Source organism: Homo sapiens, chromosome 3 (assembly GCF_000001405.40).
Source record: "Homo sapiens chromosome 3, GRCh38.p14 Primary Assembly".
Taxonomy (NCBI): Eukaryota; Metazoa; Chordata; class Mammalia; order Primates; family Hominidae; genus Homo; species Homo sapiens.
Window position 1 is genome coordinate 126,523,412 of NC_000003.12, and position 20,148 is coordinate 126,543,559.

The 20,148-nt window shown below is 54.8% G+C and overlaps 2 protein-coding genes across 2 annotated transcripts in view, besides 8 other annotated features; one reads left to right on the forward strand and one right to left on the reverse strand.

The window, feature by feature from the left end:
- Nucleotides 68–568: an enhancer, noted in NCBI's record as "H3K4me1 hESC enhancer chr3:126242322-126242822 (GRCh37/hg19 assembly coordinates)". NCBI's record gives its function as "activates a minimal SCP1, AML or CMV promoter by ChIP-STARR-seq in naive H9 embryonic stem cells {active_cell/tissue: H9 hESC(naive)}" and the evidence as "EXISTENCE:reporter gene assay evidence [ECO:0000049][PMID:30033119]".
- Nucleotides 569–1,069: an enhancer, noted in NCBI's record as "H3K4me1 hESC enhancer chr3:126242823-126243323 (GRCh37/hg19 assembly coordinates)". NCBI's record gives its function as "activates a minimal SCP1, AML or CMV promoter by ChIP-STARR-seq in naive H9 embryonic stem cells {active_cell/tissue: H9 hESC(naive)}" and the evidence as "EXISTENCE:reporter gene assay evidence [ECO:0000049][PMID:30033119]".
- CHST13 (carbohydrate sulfotransferase 13) lies at nucleotides 744–19,880 on the forward strand. The gene is made up of 3 exons (NM_152889.3): nucleotides 744–1,018; nucleotides 12,860–12,942; nucleotides 18,322–19,880. Exons 1-3 carry the CDS (start codon nucleotides 922–924, stop codon nucleotides 19,165–19,167), a joined length of 1,026 nt encoding a protein of 341 aa, NP_690849.1. The 5' UTR covers nucleotides 744–921; the 3' UTR covers nucleotides 19,168–19,880.
- Nucleotides 1,130–1,630: an enhancer, noted in NCBI's record as "H3K4me1 hESC enhancer chr3:126243384-126243884 (GRCh37/hg19 assembly coordinates)". NCBI's record gives its function as "activates a minimal SCP1, AML or CMV promoter by ChIP-STARR-seq in primed H9 embryonic stem cells {active_cell/tissue: H9 hESC(primed)}" and the evidence as "EXISTENCE:reporter gene assay evidence [ECO:0000049][PMID:30033119]".
- Nucleotides 1,631–2,131: an enhancer, noted in NCBI's record as "H3K4me1 hESC enhancer chr3:126243885-126244385 (GRCh37/hg19 assembly coordinates)". NCBI's record gives its function as "activates a minimal SCP1, AML or CMV promoter by ChIP-STARR-seq in primed H9 embryonic stem cells {active_cell/tissue: H9 hESC(primed)}" and the evidence as "EXISTENCE:reporter gene assay evidence [ECO:0000049][PMID:30033119]".
- Nucleotides 3,588–20,148, reverse strand: part of C3orf22 (chromosome 3 open reading frame 22) — a 31,934-nt gene continuing 15,373 nt past the window's right edge. The window contains exons 5-6 of the transcript NR_130715.2: nucleotides 5,721–5,961; nucleotides 3,588–4,462 (exon numbers count right to left, since the gene is read on the reverse strand). The gene's annotated coding sequence lies outside the window, so the exon portion shown is untranslated. The remainder of the gene's footprint in view (nucleotides 4,463–5,720; nucleotides 5,962–20,148) is intronic.
- Nucleotides 6,180–7,168: an enhancer, noted in NCBI's record as "H3K4me1 hESC enhancer chr3:126248434-126249422 (GRCh37/hg19 assembly coordinates)". NCBI's record gives its function as "activates a minimal SCP1, AML or CMV promoter by ChIP-STARR-seq in naive and primed H9 embryonic stem cells {active_cell/tissue: H9 hESC(naive and primed)}" and the evidence as "EXISTENCE:reporter gene assay evidence [ECO:0000049][PMID:30033119]".
- Nucleotides 7,023–7,142: an enhancer, noted in NCBI's record as "active region_20438". NCBI's record gives its function as "activates an Ori minimal core promoter by ATAC-STARR-seq in GM12878 lymphoblastoid cells {active_cell/tissue: GM12878}" and the evidence as "EXISTENCE:reporter gene assay evidence [ECO:0000049][PMID:35858748]".
- Nucleotides 7,153–7,202: an enhancer, noted in NCBI's record as "active region_20439". NCBI's record gives its function as "activates an Ori minimal core promoter by ATAC-STARR-seq in GM12878 lymphoblastoid cells {active_cell/tissue: GM12878}" and the evidence as "EXISTENCE:reporter gene assay evidence [ECO:0000049][PMID:35858748]".
- Nucleotides 16,534–16,708: a silencer, noted in NCBI's record as "fragment chr3:126258788-126258962 (GRCh37/hg19 assembly coordinates)". NCBI's record gives its function as "represses an EF-1alpha promoter that drives an FKBP-Casp9 reporter gene in an ReSE screen in HepG2 liver carcinoma cells {active_cell/tissue: HepG2}" and the evidence as "EXISTENCE:reporter gene assay evidence [ECO:0000049][PMID:32094911]".

Below are 20,148 nucleotides of genomic sequence, written 5' to 3' on the forward strand. Positions count from 1 at the left end.
GCACCCTCCCGTTCCCTGCTAGCCTGACTTCTGGGCAGCAAGACCCTGCGGTTAGACGTGGGCTCCTGCCCACAGGGCTAGCTGGATGTGTGTGTCTTTCAAAGGCTGGACTTTACTCTCACCTCGCCCCCTCCACCCCCCAACACACACACACACACACACACACACACACACACACACAGTCCCTGGCAAGTCCTCAGAGCTCACGTGGTGCCCAGAGAAGTTGTGGGTGACACGATGAGGCACAAGCTCCATTCCCCGGGGGATGTAAGCTGAGACCCTACCTCTCTGTGCAAAGGCTAGTGCCACCTGCATGAGCTAGATTCAGGCAGGACCTGGAGACCCTGGAGGAAAGCAAGGCTGCAGGGTAGCCTTGGGTCGGGGAGGGAGGGACACTCTTAGGCCTCTTACTGAGGGCGGGGGTCCCGGAGAGCCATGGACAGGGCAACGCTCTACTAGGCTCCTTGGTTCATCCCAGATCAGCCCTTGGGCCCCTGGCATCTAAGGCAGCAAAAAGGCAAGGGGACACCGCCCGGGGTGGGGCACGCCACCGCGACAATGCCTCTTGGCCTTGGGTGGATAATGGCACCCCTGGGCAAACCCTAGGGGCGGGGCCCAGAGGCGAGGGGCTTCCCCAATCAGTCTCCGCCCTAGCGCCCTGGACTTCGGCCCCATTCCATTGGGTGAGGGTGGGGGCACGAAAAGAGGAGCGGGCTTGCGGCCCCACCGTGTCCCGCCTCCTCAGTCCCCAGCGACTCGCAGGGGCTGGTGGGGCTGGGGTCCAGCTGCCGTGCTCCCCTGCCCTGCGCCGCGCCGCGCGTCTTGGTAGGCGCTGCGCTGCCGGGGCCGGGTCCTGGGCCAGTGCAACTCCGCCCCCAGCCGTATCCAGCGGACTGTCCTCCGCCGCGCGCCCGGCACAGCATGGGGAGGCGCTGCTGCCGGCGGCGCGTGCTGGCGGCCGCCTGTCTGGGCGCCGCGCTCCTGCTCCTATGCGCCGCGCCCCGCTCCCTGCGCCCGGGTGAGTGCCCGCCGGCCGAGCCGCGCACCCCCAACCAAACCTGGCTCCTCGCGCTTTCCACCGCGGCCTGACCCCTCGACAGCGCGGGGGACACCTGTTGTCTCCTTCCTGGCTGGGGCTAGGGGTGGCGGGCAGGGGCGCTGGTGAGGCACAGAAAGGCTCTAGACGCCCCCGCGAGCAAAGGCTCTTGCTCCTCCTCCGGAGTTACCTCCCCACTCCCAGAGCGGTGACTGTTTTGAGTCCCACAGCCGGTGCCTGGAGACCGGGGTCAGTTGTGGGGGGTAGAGGACAATTGGCCAATCCGGGAAGGCCATCTCCCTTACCTTCACCCCCTTCCCCTGCGCACCCCACGGCCCCTGGACATGAGCGCTGCTGGGCGCATGCGCATAGGAGGGGAAGCTTGGGCCACTCGGTCCGGTCCCTTGGTTGTCCTACTGTGCAGTGGGTGCCACTCCCTGCTCCACCCTGAAATCCACACTGGGTAGGGCTTGGGACTCCTGTGCACCCACTCGTGGTCTGGCTGGGGAAACTGAGGCAGTTAGTCATGACTCCGCAGAGCTGAGTGCCCTGGGCTCCACCGGTGCTGAGTCTTTGCTCTGAGTCTCTCCTCAGCTCATGTGAAGCCTCCCATCAACCCATTTCACACAATCTGAAGCGGGCCAGAGAGTGGGGAGACAGGTGTGGTGGCAACGTGCTGGCTATACAATCTACTTGGGACTGGAGGGGCCCAGCCAGCGCCCGGGTCTCCTGACCTCAGGGCTGTTTGCCTTTCCTTGTATGTGGTATGCGTGCTGGGTGGGACGACTCAGTCCGCCTCCCCACCCCCAGTGTGGGCTCTGAGAATCCTGGGCCCCACCCTTGGAACCTGGCAGACACAGTCCCAGGGAGTAAGTAACTAGGTCCAGGGTGGGCGGGGATGTTGGGCAGTGGGGGTGGGAGTGGCCCAAGACTTGAGGATATCAGGGCCTGGGGAGGCCTCTGCCCACTCCCCCTGACCCTCACACTGCCCCTTGCCCCTTGTGTGTCCAGACACAGCAGGTCAGACCTGGATGCCTCCCCAAGCCCATGGGATAGGGCTGGGGTGTCTCTTTCCAGCACCCCCACAACCCCTTCTGTGAGCTGTCTGGTGGTGTTGAGCAGACAATCTCCTGGCAGTCTGGGGTGTGGACTCAGTGTCTGTGGCTGCCACAGCCTCTGTCCACCGAGTCATTCAGTAGACAGATGTTTACCCAGTACTAAGACAGGGCAGAACTTGGTGGCTACTGGCCCCTCAGGGCTCAGCGTGGGATGTTAGAGGACACCTGAGTGCCTGGGTCCCGGGGAGTGTCTGCAAAGGAGCATACATCTTTGAGTGACTGCATGGAGTGTCTGCGTCCCCATGTCTCCGTGGGACACCTCTCTCCTGTCACCTACTCTACCCAGGTTTGAGGGATGAGAAACAAACCAAGGTACTAGTCACCTTCTGGGCTTTGTTCCTTCTGACCTCCCTCCCTCTCCTGCAGAGCCTGGGAAGAGACAGCAGGTGTTAGGAGGACGGCTCCGAACCTCCCTTCCCAGCCTCTGCGCAGGCTGGGCTCTCCACCTGGCCTGTCCTGCTCTTGGCCATGACCTCACCCAGCATCTCAGCATCTCTCTCTGTTTCTGTCAAGCGCTCTTGTACCTCTCCCATGGCCTGTCTCCAGCCATCACAGCTTTGTGAGTGACCTTGGGCGAGCAAGAGTTAATCAGACCAACCTATCCAGCCTCTCACACTGGCTTTTCTCTCTCCCAAGCCCTGAGCTGAAGCTTTGGCTGAGACTATGCTTGTGGGCCTGCAGGTGGCACACAGGGAGGGCACTCAGCTGGGAAAGGCCTTTTCCTGCCAGGCTAGTCCTGCTGGAGGGGCATCCCCTGCCCTTGGCCTCTGGAAATGGCCTCACGAGGGCCTGCAGTGTCTCTGCAGCCATGCCTGAGTTGGAAGGGATGTGGTCTGTGCCCTGTGAGGGCTTCTGGCCTGGGGATGAGGGCTCCAGAACTCAGGAGGGATTTCAGCCCCTTCTCCCAGGAGGGCAGGCCCAGCACTGTCCCCTCCTTCTCCAGAGCAAGAGGCCCAGCACTGTCCCCTCCTTCTCCAGAGCCAGAGGTGCTGCCGTAAGTTGGGCAAGGGGCCACTGAAGGGCTACTGGCTCAGGCCTGGGGCTCTTGCTACCCCAGGGAGCTCAGAGACATTCTAGTAGGGGGAGGTCTGCGGCAGCCCCTCCACAGCCACAGCCTCAGCCCCAGGGCTCCACCACCTGCACTGGCCTACTGCTTAGGGTCCCAGGGAGGAGGAGATTCCAGGAAGGTGGGGCAGCTGCCCAGAGCACTGCTGCCCTCATCACCCCACCCTCATCCCCAGTGCCCAGCGGCAGCTCCCAATGGCAGACCCCTGGGTCTCCTGCGGCCCCCTTGGCTCCCTCTGTGTTTTTGCCTGGGCATGGTGACCATGCTTCCCGTGGCTGGCACACCACGGACCACGGACCTGTTGGTTGTCTGCTCGTGCAGGTACTGGGAGACAGTGGGGAACAAAACTTAGAAATACCCCTGCCTCGAGGAGCTTACATTTTTAATATGAAAACCCAAGATCTCAGCTCTATGTCTTCTGCCTCTGAGACACCGGCGGGAGCAGTGTTGGCACCAGCCCCCTTCCCCTATTCCACTCCCGCGGCTGCAGGGCTGAGCATCTGTCCCAGTGTTTGGAGTCACAGGTGTTCCTCTTGGAGCCAGGTGGGCCTCTGCATCCCATCCCAGCCCCTGCTCACCCCTAGGCAGGCAAGGAAGCTAAGACTGTGGGCCACCCAATGGCACACAGTGGTAGCCTCGGCGAGGACAAACCCAACCCAATTCAGACTCCCTTCAGCTGGGAGGGAGTGGGTCTGTGCCTGTGACTGAAAAGGCCAGGTGCCTCTGCCTCGGACAGGCATAGATCTTGGGGTTCAGATCACACCTCCAGCTGTGGTTTAGCTTTTCTCTGCCATAGCCTCACTCTCAGCTGCACCAGTTCAGCAACTCCAACCCAAAGCTAGAGAGGGTTCCTTTGCCACTGATTCCAGCCAAAGTCCCAAGGAGGCATCCATTGGCCCGGTCTGGGTCTCAAGTGCCCGTCTCTGAGCCAGTCAGGTGGCAGGAAGGGCTGGGAGGCTGTGATTGGACAGGCCTAGGCCACATGCCTATCCCAGCAGGTGGTGGAGGCGTAGGGGAGCCTATCGGAATCACATGGGCTGAAGGCCTGGCAGGCATCCTCCTCTGGTGGGTGGGCAAAGGGAGGGGAAGTGGCTGCTGGAGCCAAATTGGTAGATGCTCCCCATGCTGCTGTCCATCTTCAGGTACTGCTGGAGTGTCCCGAGTTCAGAGGACCTCCAGAAAGTACCGTGAGAAGAGGCAAGCTGGCAGGTGGGTGGCTCTGCAGAACAGGAATTGGCAATCCTATTTTGCAGAAAAGAAAAGATCAAGAGAGAGGAAGTTACTTGCTCAAGTCAGGAAGTATGGGGCCAGGATTTAAATCCCAGCTGAAACCCCAAATCCTTTTTCTTTCCATTCTACAGGGCAGGGGCATTTGTGTTGGGCTTTGAAAGCTGCATAGGAGTTTAACAGGTAGGAAAAGGAGGAGAGGAAACTGCAAGCAGAAGGAATGGCACAGAGAAAAGCATGGAGGAGTGAAATGGCCTGGGGTGTGAATGGATGTGCTGTGGGTGGGGCTCTGGGTCCTTGAGAGAGAATGGTGGGATGGAAGGCAGGAAGATACTCTAAGTTGGGGCTCAGTCATGAATAGTCTTGAATGGGATGCTAGGGGCTGGGGTGCTCTTCCTATGGCTGTCAGAGGGCATCAGTCTTTAAATAAATAGTCACTGGCACTGGGCAAGGTTGCAGGGGTTACAGAAAAGCAAAAAGTCCCCTTCCATGTAGATCTGACCTTCCAGAGTGATCAACCTACACAGAACTCAAAAGATTTCAGCAATAAAGAGTGCCGTGGCTGGAGCTGAGCAGTGAACCAGGAAGGGTGGTAGTGCACTGGTGGGCCTTGGGGGGAACCAGGGATTGCTGCAAGGAGTGAGAAGCCCTGTGGGTTTAGAGATCACCAAGGTGGGGCGAGGAGAAATAGGAGATAGGTGAGGTGTCTCCTTCCAGTCTTGGTAATTGTTCCAGGGAGAGCCCTGGGGCCTACCCGGGGCTGGCCATGGGCAGGGAAGGTGGAAGTGGGGTCCGGAGGGTTCTGGAGGCACAGCCGACAGGACTGTGCTCAAGGGGGATCTGGGCAGACTGGGGTTCCATTCTAGATGGCCTGTGGAGTTCAGCAAATGGAGTTTGAACTAAATACACGTGGAGAGATCTCTAGTTCTCTCCCCTAAACAGAATTGCTTATAATAATACATGAAGGGCTTGTCCAATGTGTCCTTCCCTTGGGCCTGATCCCCAGAAGGAATGTCCCTGACTCTGAGACATGCAGGTCACCCCAGAAAGCCCCTAGGGGAAGGAATGGGGCAGGACAGAGGCCCTCGGAGGCCACGTGGGAACCTATGCCTGCTGGCAGGAGCTTGCTGGGGCCTGGCTGCCCTGCTTATCTCCTCTTGCAACACTGTAACCTGCTGGAACTTATTAACCAGAAGCCGAGTGTCATCATCTCTGCTTGCTGGACTAGGGAGTCTGCAAACAGCATCCCCCTACATGATGGCTGTGCCCTCACCCTGCACAGGGCGCGAGCCCTGCTTTGGCTGAGGTGGGTGTGCAGAGGAGGATGGTCGTGCTTCTGCTGTAGGTTTCTAGTGTGGTGTTTCACCCGGTATCTTGATTGGCAGAGGAGGCCTTGCAACATGACGTGTGCGGGTGTCCTGTGTGCAGCAATCGCATGGCCTTGAGCAGCTCTCTCTGCTCTCCTTCCCTGGGCTGGTATTTCCTCATGGGTCAGTGAAATGGGGCCCACTTGCCTACGGATGCCGCAAGGGGGGACAGGTGTCAGGACAAGGGGGCACCCAGAGGCAGGGCAGCATGGGTGTTAAGGGTGCAGATGCTGGCACCGGTGGCCTGGGGTCAAATTCTGTTTCTGGCACAGCAAGGAAGCTGTGAGGCCTCGGGCAAGTTTCTTTGCCTCAGTTTCCCCCTCTGTCAAGTGGGATAAAGATAGTTTCTACATGAGAGGGGTAAGCATGTCAGTGTGCACTAAGCACCCGGCACTGTGCTGGGGCCTGCAGTCCCCACCATGCTTTGTCTCCTTCTGTCTCTTCCTTCTCTTTCTCCCAGCCTCGGGCCCTGTCGTCCATCACTGTCTCCCTGTCTCTGTCATTGTTTTTGGCACTCCTCCCATCCCTCCTCCCCTCCCATCATCCTGTCCCCCTTCTCTCCCCTGTCTCCCTAACCTCCTGCTGGTTTTGTTTCCTTTTTCTAAGCAGTCACCGCGTGGCTTTCCCTGTGCTGCTCTGGGATGGGCCCTCCTGGGCTACACTGCCTGGCTCTCCCTGTTCTGTCTGCTCCTCTGTCCCCTTGGCAGGGGGTGGCAGGGAGCCTGGGACCTAGGGCCCAGTGGAGGGACGGGGGTACAGAGGACACAGACAAGGGAGTTTGGGATGATGGGGGTGGAGGGGGTGGATGCCCCAGTGTGGCCCTGTTTGGGGCCAGCCCCCAGCTGGCCAAGTCAGGATTGGACCCAAGGATCCTCAAGATACCCCCCTTCTGACCTCCTGTGCCCATCTGTCCCTCCATGGCAGCCTGCCCGTCTGCAGGGCCCAGGCTCCTCGGGGCAGGGTGGCAGGCAGGGTGGGGCTGGATGGAGGCGGCCCAGCCCTGTAATCACTGGCCACAGCTATTCTGAGCCTCTCTCTGGTACCTGCTCCCTTTTCCCTTCTACCCACTGGCCCCTGGGGGCTGTTATGGTACCCACTTTCCAGCAGGCTGTGGTCTGGCCAGGAAATGAGAGGCCTTATGCAAGGGCTGGCGTTTCCGGAAGGCTGGGAGCCTCCGAGTAGCAGGGCCCTGGGGCGGAGACAGGCCTGGGTCGGCTTCTCAGTCACTGCAACTGCCCCTCCACCCCCTGCCCACAGAACACAGGCTGCTGAGCACCAGTTCTTCCTCAGTCCCCAGCCACAGTTCCCAGGAAAGGGACACGTCTCATCTGCAACACGGCGAGAAGGCCTGGCCTCCTCTCATGGGTTGCCTGGCCCTGCCCTGCCTGGTGTGGCACCAGCGGAGCTCCCCATGGTTGCTGCTAGACTCAGGCCACACCCAGCCTGGGTCTCCCTGCACCAGCATGACCAGCCAACATTGCTGCCCTCTCCTGTCAGCTCCTTTTCTGATGACGGTGTCGTTCCTGGGACATGTCCGGCAGTTCAGATCTCTGACTCTGTCTGGAGACGCAAGGTCAAATGCTGGGCTGGTCAGTGGCCTGGAGACACAGGTGGCCCTGAACCTCCTCAGCCTCCTCTGCATGCCCTGGCCACTGGAGTCTGGCCCTTGTTCCTGGGCCTTACAGGATGTGGCCTGGGCGCAGAGGGGGCCTGAGGCAGGCAGGGGGCAGCAGGACCCTGGACAGTGGGCTTCAGTTACACGCAGCAGGGTTCTGGACAATGGGCTTTAGGGTTCTGGAGGCCAGTGCAAGGCCCGTCCAGCTGCCATCTATTCCTTCCACGAACCTCTGTTTATTCAGCACAGACCATATTCTGCCTGCCAGGCACTGCGCTGGCGCAGCTGGTGTCAAAGCACGCTCCCAGACCAGCAGCCGCAGCCTCACCTGGAGCTGCTGGAAATGCAGATTCTTGGGCCCCACCCCCCAACCTACTGGACCAGAAACTCTAGAGGTGGGGCCCGGGATTCTTGAGTTTAATGGGCCCCACACAAGCTGAAGTTTGGGAATGACTGCCCTAGGTCAGTTTGCCAAAAGACCTGTTCCTCAGATTTCCCAAGTTTACTGGCGTGCCAGAAGTTTGTCTCAAGTGAATAGATTCTTCTTAGCGACATTTATAGACTCTTCATTTGGTTGAAGGCCAAGGATCACAGAAGCATTTATCCTTCTTTTCTCACATGTACCTGAATTCTTGAACATATTCTTCTTATGAATATTCAATGTTCTTATGAACTCTTACGGACATATTAAGACAGCCATTTCACATAAATGGAATCGTGTCTTAGCTGGCCTTTTATGTCTGGCTCCTTTCACTTAACATAACGTTTACAAGGTTCAGCCACACGGAAGCATGAGCCAATTCTTCATTCCTTTTATGGCCAATTAATAGCCCATGTTATGGATATACCACATTTTTATTATCCATTCATCAGCTGATGGATTTGGGTTGTTTCCATTTTGGGGCTATCATGAATAATGCTGATGGGAACATTTGTGAACAAGTTTTTGTGTGAACAAGTTTTCAGTTCTAGGAACATACTTAGGAGAGGAATTGCTGGGTTGCATGGTAATTCTAAGCTTAGCTTTTTAAGAAACCACCAAACTGTTTTCCCTCATGGATGCACCACTTTACATCCCCACCAGCAATATATGAGGGCTCCAATTTCTCCACATCCTTGTTATTTACTGTCTTTTTAAATAACCATCCTCATGGTGTTGATTTCTATTTCACTAATGGCTAGTGATGTTGCGCACCTTTTCATGTGCTTATTGCTGTAGGTATATCTTTGGAGAAATGTCTATTCAGATTCTTTGCCCATTTAAAAAATTGAGTTGTCTTTTGTTGTTCCATTGTAAGAGTTCTCCATACGTTGTGGGTACTAGTTCCTTACCAGAGAGATAATTTGCAAATATTTTCTCCCAACTACGGATTGTCATTTCACCTTCTTGATAGTGTGCTTTGAAGCACAAATGTTTTTTAATATTGATGTAGTTCAATTTATCTATTTTTTAAAATTTTGTTGTTTTGTGCTTTTGGTGTCATATCTAATACATCATCACCTAATCCAAGGTCATGGAGATTTATGTCGGTGTTTTCACTTAAGAGTTTCATAGTTTTAACTTCAATGTTTGGGGCTATGATCCATTTTGAGTTAGTTTTTGTATGTGGTATGAAGATGGGGTACAACTTCATTCTTTTGCATGTGAATATCTCATGCTGTCTCAGCACCACTTATTGTAGACTGTCCTTTCCCCATTGAATTGTCTTGGCTCCCTCATCAATAATCAACTGACCACAAATGTAAGGGTTTGTTGCTGAACTTTCAGTGCTATTTCATTCATCTATATGTCTCTCCTAGCCAGCACCACACAGTCTTGATTATTGTGGCTGTATAGTAAAGTTGTGGTATCAGGAAATGTGAATCCTCTAACTTTGTTCTTTTTTGAGATTCTTTTGGATATTCTGAATCCCTTCACTTTCCACAAGAATTTAAAGATCAGCTGTCAATTTTGGCAGAAAAAGGCAGCTGGGATTTTGACAGGAATTTCAAAGAATCTGTAGATGACTTTGGGGAGTACTGCCATCTTCACAACATTAAGTATTCCAATCCACAAACCTGAAATGTCTTTCCGTTCATTTGGGTCTTTAATTTCTTTCAACGATGTCTCATGGTTTTCAGTGGACAGGTCTTATACTTCCTTTGTTACCAACTTCTTCTTTATTACTTTATTAATTTTGATGTTGTTTGATTATTCATTGCTAGTATATAGAATATAATTGACTTTTGTATATTAATCTTGCATCGTGCAACCTTGCTGAACCCATTTATTAGCTCTTACAGTTTGTGAATTCTTTAGGGTTTTCTATATATATATACGGTTATGTCATCTATGAATAGACAAAGTTTTACTTATTACTTTCCAACCTGGATGCCTTTTATTTATTTTCCCTGCCCAATTACCCTGGATAAAACCTCCAGTATAATTAATAGAACTGGCAAAAGCAGGCACTCTTGCCTTGCTCCTGATCTTAGGGAGAAAGCTTCCAGTCTTTCACTATTAAGTTATCTGAGGGTTTTTCGTTGATGCCCTTTATCAGTTTGGCAAAGTTTCCTTCTATTCTTAAGCTGTTTAGTGTGTTTTGTCATGAAGAAGGGTATTGGATTTTGTCCTATGCTTTTTCTGCATTTATTGATGAGCATGTGGGCTTTTTTCTTGATTCTATTAATACAGTGTATTACATTGATTGATTTGTGTATATTTAGCCAATCTTGCATTCCTGGGATCCATCCTACTTGGTCATGGTGTATAAACTTTTTCATAGGATGTTATTTTTGGTTTGCCCATATTTTTTGAGAACTTTGCACTTATATTCATAAGGGACATGGCTCTGTAGTTCCCTTTTCTTGTGATGTCTTTGTCTGGTTTGGTCATCTAGATAATACTGGCCTTATGTAATGAGTTGGGAAGTGTTCTCTCCTCTTCTGTTTTTTGAAAGAGTTTATGAAAGATTGGTGTTAATTCTTTAAACATTTAGTAAAATTTACCAGTGAAGCCATCTGATCCTGGGCTTTTGTTTGTGGGATTTTTTTTTTATTACTAATTCAACATCTTGACTTGTTATGGGTCTGCTGAGATTTTATATTTCTTCTTGAGTCAATTTCAAGAATTTCTGTCTTTCTAGGAATTTGTCTATTTCTTGTATGTTTTCTCATTTGTTGGGCTACAATTGTTCAGAGTTCTCTTGTAATCCTTTCTTGTTTCTTTAAGGTCAGTAGTAACATCCCCTCTTTCTTTCCTGTTTTTAGTAATTTGAGTCTTTTCTATTTTCTCCTAGGTCAGTCTAGCAAAAGTCTTGCCAGTTTTTGAGATCTTTTCAAAGATCGCCTAACACCTTATTAGTTTATTAATATGCATAATCATATTTCTGAAAATGGGATCCAGAAGCATATGATCATATATAGGCTATATTACTGAGAACATATTAATATTAATTGACTATGCATAAAAAGATATTCCTTAAAACAGATTTTGAGTAAAGGAATACATTTATAGGTAAACGGATTTTTACTTATAATAGTTCTAGGAAAACTGAGCAGTGCAGCAAGGAGACAGACAGACAGACAGACAGCATCCCTGTCCTCATCTGGGAGACAGACAGACAGCATCCCTGTCCCCACCCAGGAGACAGACAGACAGCATCCTTGTCCTCAGCTAGCAGAAAAACAGACAGCATCCCTGTCCTCAGCCAGGAGAAAAACAGACAGCATCCCTGTCCTCAGCCAGGAGAGAGACACACACAGAGAGCATCTCTGTCCTCAGCTGGGAGACAGACACACAGACAGCATCCCTGTCCTCAGCCGGGAGACAGATAGACAGCATTGCTGTCCTCAGCCGGGAGACAGATAGACAGCATTGCTGTCCTCAGCCGGGAGACAGACAGACAGACAGCATCCCTGTCCCCACCCAGGAGACAGACAGACAGCATCCCTGTCCTCAGCCAGGAGAAAAACAGACAGCATCCCTGTCCTCAGCCAGGAGACAGACATACACAGAGAGCATCCCTGTCCTCAGCTGGGAGACAGACACACAGACAGCATCCCTGTCCCCAGCCGGGAGACAGACCAGCATCCCTGTCCCCAGCCGGGAGACAGACAGACAGCATCCCTGTCCCCAGCCGGAGACAGACCAGCATCCCTGTCCCCAGCCGGGAGACAGACAGACAGCATCCCTGTCCTCAGCCAGGAGACACACAGCATCGCTGTCCTCAGCCGGGAGACAGACAGACAGCATCCCTGTCCCCAGCCGGGAGACAGATAGACAGCATCACTGTCCTCAGCTGGAGACAGACAGACAGCATCCCTGTCCCCAGCCGGGAGACAGACAGCATCCCTGTCCCCAGCCGGGAGACAGACAGACAGCATCGCTGTCCCCAGCCGGTAGACAGACAGCATCCCTGTCCTCAGCTGGGAGACAGACAGACAGCATCACTGTCCTCAGCTGGAGAAAGACAGACAGCATCGCTGTCCTCAGCCAGGAGACAGACAGACAGCATCCCTGTCCTCAGCCGGGAGACACACAGACAGCATCGCTGTCCCCAGCTGGTAGACAGACAGACAGCATCCCTGTCCTCAACCGGGAGACAGACAGACAGCATCCCTGTCCTCAGCCGGGAGACAGACAGACAGTATCGCTGTCCTCAGCCGGGAGACACACAGACAGTATCGCTGTCCTCAGCCGGGAGACACACAGACAGCATCCCTGTCCTCAGCCGGGAGACAGACAGACAGACAGCATCACTTTCCTCAGTCGGGAGACAGCCGGACAGCATCACTTTTCTCAGCCAGGAGACAGACAGACAGCATCACTGTCCTCAGCTGGAGACAGACAGACAGCATCCCTCTTCTCATCTGGAGATAGCTAAACCTGCTTCCATGTGAAGCAGCATATTCCCTGATGGGGAAGCACTGCTGTCACAGGCATCCACAGTGGGTCACCCAGCCTAGCAAGGTGGCACTGAGAGGCTACAGCCCACTGTGCCATCTCCACTGTTGCCCAAACCTTTCTGGCTGCCCATACACAGGATCTGAGGGTGCTGGGCAGCCAGCCAGCCTGGTGAACCCCACAAGGGTTGGGGCATGAGGCCAGGGCAGATGGCAGTGGGTGAGTTTGGGTGATCTGGCCTTTCCTAGAGGGTTGGTGGGCTGGGTATCACCTTCCCACTTGTCCCCTCTTGCCTAGTACCCTCCAACTTTGGAGGGTAGGACATGGGAGCAGGAATGACACAAGATACTACCCTGATGTAATTCTGCCCCATTAGTACCCCCTGCCATCCCCCACTCCACCAAGCCCCTAGGAGGTAGGCAAGATCCGGGAAGGAAATTGAGTGCCAGAGGTGGGTCAAATGTGCCTAGATGGGTTGGCCAAACCCCCAGGTCCATGCAAGTCCCTCTGATATGGTGGCGACATCTCTCTCCTTATGCCCACAGCATTTGGAAACAGAGCCCTGGGCTCCAGCTGGCTTGGTGGGGAGAAGAGAAGCCCCCTGCAGAAGCTCTATGACCTGGATCAGGTAGGTGGACAGACCCTCGACCCAGGCATGCCCCCCTCCATCCCAGCCAGGAGCCTGACAGCAACAGTGCAGACCTGCTGGCATGAGACTGGACCCCACACTGGGGCACAGAAGGGCATCCTCCCCAAACCAGGCTTTGTCAGAGAGCAGTGACAAGGGCAAATCTTGGGGGTAAGATGAGAGACCTGGAGTCTCTACCCACCTATCTTCCCATCCATCAACAATCTGAGGCCAGGCATAGTTCTTTGTGTTGCAGATAAAAAAGAGTCAAAACAGACCCTGTACCTGCCCTCAGGAAGTTTACAGTCTCGTGGGAGACTAAATCTCAGTGTGTGCTGCAGTGGGGAGGTGTGCAGGGACCCCCAGCCCCGGCGTGATTCTCAAACAGATGGACCAGGCGGGGCTGGCTGGCCCACACACCTAACTTCAGCTGGGGGCCTGCAGGGACCACACACAACCCCAAATACACACATACAACTGTACCCCACCACCAAGAACCCCACACTCTGGCTCTCTCTCTCTCTTTCTCACACACACACACAAACACACACACACACACACACACACACACCCCACACACACAAGTACTTATTCGGACAGCACATATTGAGCACCTACTGCATGCAGGCTGTGGTCAGGATGCTGAGATCCAGCAGCAAGCAGGTTGGCCAGGTCCCTCCCCTAGTGGAGCCACCAGTCCAGCAGGGGAAGATGTCATCTGATCACCACCCACACTAATACTTAACTAATTCTGCTCTAAAGGGGAGTATGAGGTGCAACAAGAGCTCTCCTGAGAGGATCCTAGTTTAGATGGGGGAGAGCAACTCCTCTCCAAGGTAGGGACATTGAAGCTGAGGTGAAGAGCAAGAGTCAATAGGCAGACAGGAAGGGCCAAGCGCCACAGGCAGAGGAAACAGCTGTGCCAAAGGCCTGGCGGGGAGTGGAGGACAGGAGAGGGAGCACAAGGGGAGCCTGGAGAAGTGGGCAGCACGCAGGCCCTGCAGGTGTGCAAGGGTAGCGGGGAGCCATGCAAGGTTTTAAGCAAGGAAGGACAGCATCAGATTTTCACCCTTGGGGTATCCCTACTGCTGTGTAGAGAAGGATCAGGGTGGTGTTGGGTAGGTGGCTGCTCCCCAAATCCTGAGGGCTGAGCGGAAGGGGCCTGTGGAGCTCATCTGGCCCAAGCCTACAAGCAGGTAGGGAGGCCTTCCTTCGCAGAGTGTGACTGACTGACTCTGGGCCACACAGCAGGCTGACGGTAGGACAGGCACTCAGTAGGGCCCTGGGTTCCACTAGCTCTGGCGGCTTCTGAGGGGCAGATGGCCCCTCACAGCCTGAGGACCCTGTGACCGTTGGGTGTCAACTCCCTGGAGGCTTAGCACCTTGCGGCTGGAGAAATAACATAGTAAAAACCATCTGGCCAACAAGTGCTGATCACGTGCCAGGCCCTTTAGTTCTGTGGACTAATTACGTCAACCCATAAGGTGGGGCCGTTGTCCCTGTTTACAGACAAGGACACAGGCATGGGGAGGCAAGTGCCCTGCAAAGGTCACAGAGCTTCTATGGACTAGAGCCAGCAAGGAATCCAGGCAGCCACACTGTGGGGGTGAGGACAGGAGCTGTAGGTGCAGCCCCGGACAGTGGACATAGGTCCAGCTTTAGAGTCCCAAGGGGCCTGAGTTGGAGCCCCGGCTTCCCCAAAGAGAGCTGTGTGACCTCAGGCAACTCATTTCCCCTGAGTCTCAGTTTTCTCTTCTGTAAAATGGGTATTCATGTGCCTATGAGCAACAGCAGTGGCAGCCCAAGCTGCTTCCAGCCATGAGGAGAGTTAGTGCCCATTCCTGAGCTGCTCGGAGACTGGCAGCCCACGGTTCAGCAGCAGCCAGCTGCCCACCATCGTCCTCCGGATGTTGACTTCTGTCATAGAGCTGGCCTCCTGACTATAAGAGGACTGCCAGGGCTGCAGACACCTCACAGGAGGGCATCCCAGGCAGAAAGTGAGTGGTGGGGTAAGGGTTTCCCCTGACTTTTCACCCTAAGGGAGTCTTTCCTGGGAGTCATCTGGCTAATCCCCTGATATCGCCTCAGGCAGAGCCAGGCCACATTCCCCCCGAACCCCCGGACCCAGTGCTTCAGCAACGACACACGAAGCTGAAGATATGGCTCCCTGAAGCTGGGCTCATGCCCTGACACAGCCGGGGTCGGCCAGCAAGGAAGGAGGAAGACTGACAGGTGGCCGGATGGCCAACATTCCCTGCCACAAGAAATGTGTTGGGTCATCTAAAAGCTGAAAGCAGACCTTGGCTGTGGGCCCCGGGGGCACAGCCTCTCCTGGCACCATGTGGAGCTAGGCTTCTAAGGTCAGTCCTGACGGTGGAAACAGGGTCTCCCAGGTGTCCCCATACCCCCATGGCATAGCTGAACCTGGCAGCCTTCCCATGGTGAGTGTGGCTAAGTGACTGTCTTATTTCACTTAGCATGATGTCCTCAGGGTTCACTGTTTCTCAAAATGGTGAGATTTTAAAAATGTAAGCACATGACATGGCATTTGACACTACAGAAGGGTAGACACAGTGAAGAGTAGGTCTCCTTGTCCAGCACCTGTCCTCTCGGAGGCCACCAGATCCCTGGGTGTCCTTCCAGACATGCTCTAGGCGTGTAAGTAGTATCCACTGCTTTGCCGTGTGCTTACAGTAACTTCTTGAGAATCTCACCTACAGGCATGTATGTCCTATGTCTGTCTGCCTCTGTCTTTTCATTTTGAAAAATTCAAGCATATGCAAGAAGAAGGGAGAATAGTTCAAGGAACCCCCACCTTCCCACCACCTACTCCCACCTGGGATGACTGCGAAGCCAGTCCCAGCCTTGTGGATTCTGTGACTATGTCTGAACGTATCTCTAAAATAATAAGTCTCCCTCCACCCACCCTTTGTGAAACGTTTTTTATTTCTTTCCCTTTTTCAACATAAATGTTAAGCCCTGTTCTGCACTTTGGTTTTCCCACTTAGTGTATCTTAGACAGCTGTGGGATAGTTTGAAAGGCATCAGGAGCATAGTGTGCACATGTGTGCAGGAGCGTACATGGACACACACACAACCACAAACACACCACACACACTGCACACACACACACATATGTACCCCACACCACACACACCCCACACACCCCACACCATGCACACACCACACACACCGCACACACACTGCACACACACACACATATGTACCCCACACCACACACACCCCACACACTCCACACCACACACACAGCACACACACACCCCACACACCACACACACCCCACACTATACACACAGCACATACACCACAGACACCACACACACACCACACACATATGCCACACACACCCCCCACACCACACACACACCCCACACCACACACTCCACACCACACACACAGCACACACACACCACACACCACAGACACCACACCACACACCACAAACACACATACCACACACACACCACACACATCACACACACACACCCCACACCACACACACACACAAACACACACCACACATACACCATACATACACCACACACACCACACACCCGCCACACATGCCACACCTGCCACACATGCCACACACACACAAATGCCACACACGCATGACACACACACACAAATGCCACACACGCATGCCACACACACGCACACCACACACCACACAGAGACATCATGCACCACAGGCACACACCACACGCGTGCACCACACACGCACAGGACACACACGCATTCCCACCCCACTGGCGTCAGACCCTCCCAAGCAGGCCCTGGCTCTGGTGTTCCTCCAAAGGCCGCTTTGGCCTCCTCTGAAATGGAAACACCTGAAGCCTTTTTTCTTAACTGAGAACTCACATACCATACAACTCTTTCAAACCCTACAATTGGTTTGCAGCATTTTTATAAGGTTTTGTAACTATCACCGCTGTCTAATTTCCAAACATTGTGATCACCCTCAAAAGCAGCCCAGTGTCAGTCCATCAGCAGCCCAGTGTCCATCAGCAGCCCAGTGTCTATCAGCAGTCCTCCACAGTTCACTCAGGTTCTAGTTTTGGTCTCTCTGGATGTGACTGCTCTAGGGACCTCACTAAGTGGGACTGTTTGGCACTCGTCCTTTTGTGACTGTACTATTCGCTTGGCATAACGCCCTCCAGGTCAGCCCATGTGGCAGCATGTGTCAGCACCGCATTCCTTTCATGGCTGAGTCATATTCCATTGCATGGATGGCCGCATACATTTGCCCACTCAGCAGTGCACACTTGGATTTTCTGGCTAATGTGAATATTGGTGCTATGAACTTCATGGACAAGTTTTTTGCATGATGCACGTTTTTAGTTCTCTTGAGAATATGCCTAGGACCGGAATTGCTGAGTCACATGTTTACTGGTTTTGAGGAACTGCCAAACTGCTTTCCACAGCAACGGCACCCCTTTACACTCCCACCAGCAACTCGTGAAAGCTCCAGTTTCTCCACATCCTCACCAATTCCTAATTGTCTTTTTAATTATATCCTGAAGGCTCTTAATGTAATTTTAAGAAGTTAAAACACTTTCTTTTATGAACTCTTACACAAAAAATCATAGGCAGGGGTGTTAATCTTGGAGATAAGAACCCCGGGTGGGGCAGGAGTGATCTGAAGAAAGGGGAGCTGGAAGCATGGAAGCGCTGGCCTGGGTCTCTACATGGCTGAGGCTGCGAGGGGCTCCGGACCTAATTCGGAGAGCGGTGAGGCTGCTGGCCCGCAGCAGGTGCTAGGTTAAAGCCAGTCGTTGTTCCTTCTCATAGGAGGGACAGGCTCAGAAGGGGCAGGCTTCCTGTCCCAGCGCTGAGATAAGAATTTGCTGGGGGAATAAAAGGAGTGAAGGTGCAAAGGAGAGTGCTGATTGGTAAGTACAGAATCAGCCCATTTATTATTGAGCCAAAGCAGCCCGACAGCCCACAAGCGGCTGCAGTTTTCAATTGGGTGTGGAATTAAACAGCGCTGCTTCTTATGCAGCCTCCTGCTTTTAGTAAACATTGAAGAGTCCATGTGTGCCCGTACTCACACGGAGCGCACTCTGATGCCACAATTCCTTATCACTCCTCCTCTGAGTGCCCCACGGCATACATACCCAGCGCGTCCTTCTCCCAGCCTCAGCAAAGTCAGAATCCGTTTCTCCCAAATCTCGGCCCAGGACAGATGCCCGGGCCCTAAACCACACAGTGATCAGTGACAGCCCTGGGGTTCGAATTTGGGTGCCCGGCGCAGCTCCTGCTCCCAATTCCCGGGCGCATCCCGCCGGGGCAGCGCCAGAGTCAGGGAGCCCGCGCTGCCCTGACGCGTCCCCCTGTCCCGTCTCCTGTCGCCCACAGGACCCGCGCTCGACCCTGGCGAAGGTGCACCGGCAGCGGCGCGACCTGCTGAACAGCGCCTGTAGCCGCCACTCACGCCGGCAGCGCCTGCTACAGCCGGAGGACCTGCGGCACGTGCTGGTGGACGACGCGCATGGCCTGCTCTACTGCTACGTGCCCAAGGTGGCCTGCACCAACTGGAAGCGCGTGCTGCTGGCGCTGAGCGGCCAAGCCCGCGGCGACCCGCGCGCCATCTCCGCGCAAGAGGCGCACGCGCCTGGCCGCCTGCCCTCACTGGCCGACTTCAGCCCCGCCGAGATCAACCGGCGCCTGCGCGCCTACTTGGCCTTCCTGTTCGTGCGGGAGCCCTTCGAGCGCCTGGCATCGGCTTACCGCAACAAGCTCGCGCGCCCCTACAGCGCCGCCTTCCAGAGGCGCTACGGTGCACGCATCGTTCAGCGCCTGCGGCCGCGCGCGCTCCCCGACGCCCGGGCCCGCGGCCACGACGTGCGCTTCGCGGAGTTCCTGGCCTACCTGCTGGACCCGCGCACGCGGCGTGAGGAGCCCTTCAACGAGCACTGGGAGCGCGCGCACGCGCTCTGCCACCCGTGTCGCCTCCGCTACGACGTCGTGGGCAAGTTCGAGACGCTGGCGGAGGACGCGGCCTTCGTGCTGGGCCTGGCGGGCGCATCCGACCTGAGCTTCCCTGGGCCGCCGCGGCCCCGGGGAGCCGCCGCCTCCCGCGACCTGGCAGCGCGCCTCTTCCGGGACATCAGCCCCTTCTACCAGCGGCGCCTCTTCGACCTCTACAAGATGGACTTCCTGCTTTTCAACTACTCCGCCCCCTCCTACCTGCGGCTGCTCTAGCGGTCCTGGAGGTCCTGTGGCCACGCGGGGCAAGTGCCTTTCCGACAAGACCCCCGGGGAATGCAGGTGCTGCCGGCCCCAGGACCCCTCTTCAAGAGCCACTGCGTGCACTCACCTGGCCGCCGGGCCAGCGGGCGCAGGGCACACCTGGCCAGGCTTGGGGGCAGCCCATCTCAGGTGGCCCTGCACGCGTGTGCCTGCCTCGGCCTGTCGCCTGAGGCCTGCTTCCTCCACTTGCTCCAGCTGACAGGCACCTCTCCAGGCCCCGTAGATGGGCAAGGACTTGATAACCAGGGTTTTAGGCTTTTAAAGGCCATTTTGGGGGTCAGCCCTGCCCCTGAACCTGTTCATGGTGCATCAGAACATAATGCTGACACCGGTGTCAGTGTGGCCCGAGCCTGTGTCCTCCCCACCTCGCCCACCCTGGCAAGGACAGCTGCGGCCAAGGACGAAAGCCCTCCCTTGGCTGGCCTCACGATGGGGCCGTCCCGGGAGCCAGGTGGGAGCTGCCTTCCACTGCCATCGGGTCTCCTCTCCTCTCCCACGCGGCTGGCCCTACCCAGGCGCCACCTTCGGTCTCAGTCTGGCAAGACGCTGGGTCTTCAGGCTCCATGCCAACAGAGCCCCTGGTGCAATGCGGTCACAGGTTTTATGGGACTTTGGTGAGCTGGGCGGTCATGGTTTTGAAATAAATGTATTTTGTTACTTTCTGATTTTTTGGAGTTTATCTGCTTCATTGGGCCATTTTCTCTGGGAGACTGCAGCTGTCTGATCTCAAACCACTCCGTCTCCAAGCCTTTGTTTCCCTGTTGCCAAGTGGCATAAGAAGATCAGATGAGAGTGCCCACAGAGCCTGGGTACCTCCTAGTGGTGCATATAGGAGTGAGGGGCTACATGGGGCATAAGGTGAAGAGAGTGCACTGTGTAGGAGGTGCTAAATTCTGGCACTGACAACTTGGGGAAAATCTACTCTTTCACCCT

Excerpts from the sequence above, each read along its gene's own strand:
- CHST13 (NM_152889.3), top strand. The coding sequence starts at position 922 with ATGGGGAGGCGCTGCTGCCGGCGGCGCGTGCTGGCGGCCGCCTGTCTG. Across the intron at positions 1,019-12,859 it reads GCCCCGCTCCCTGCGCCCGG|CATTTGGAAACAGAGCCCTG; the intron begins GTGAGTGCCCGC and ends TTATGCCCACAG. Across the intron at positions 12,943-18,321 it reads AGCTCTATGACCTGGATCAG|GACCCGCGCTCGACCCTGGC; the intron begins GTAGGTGGACAG and ends TGTCGCCCACAG.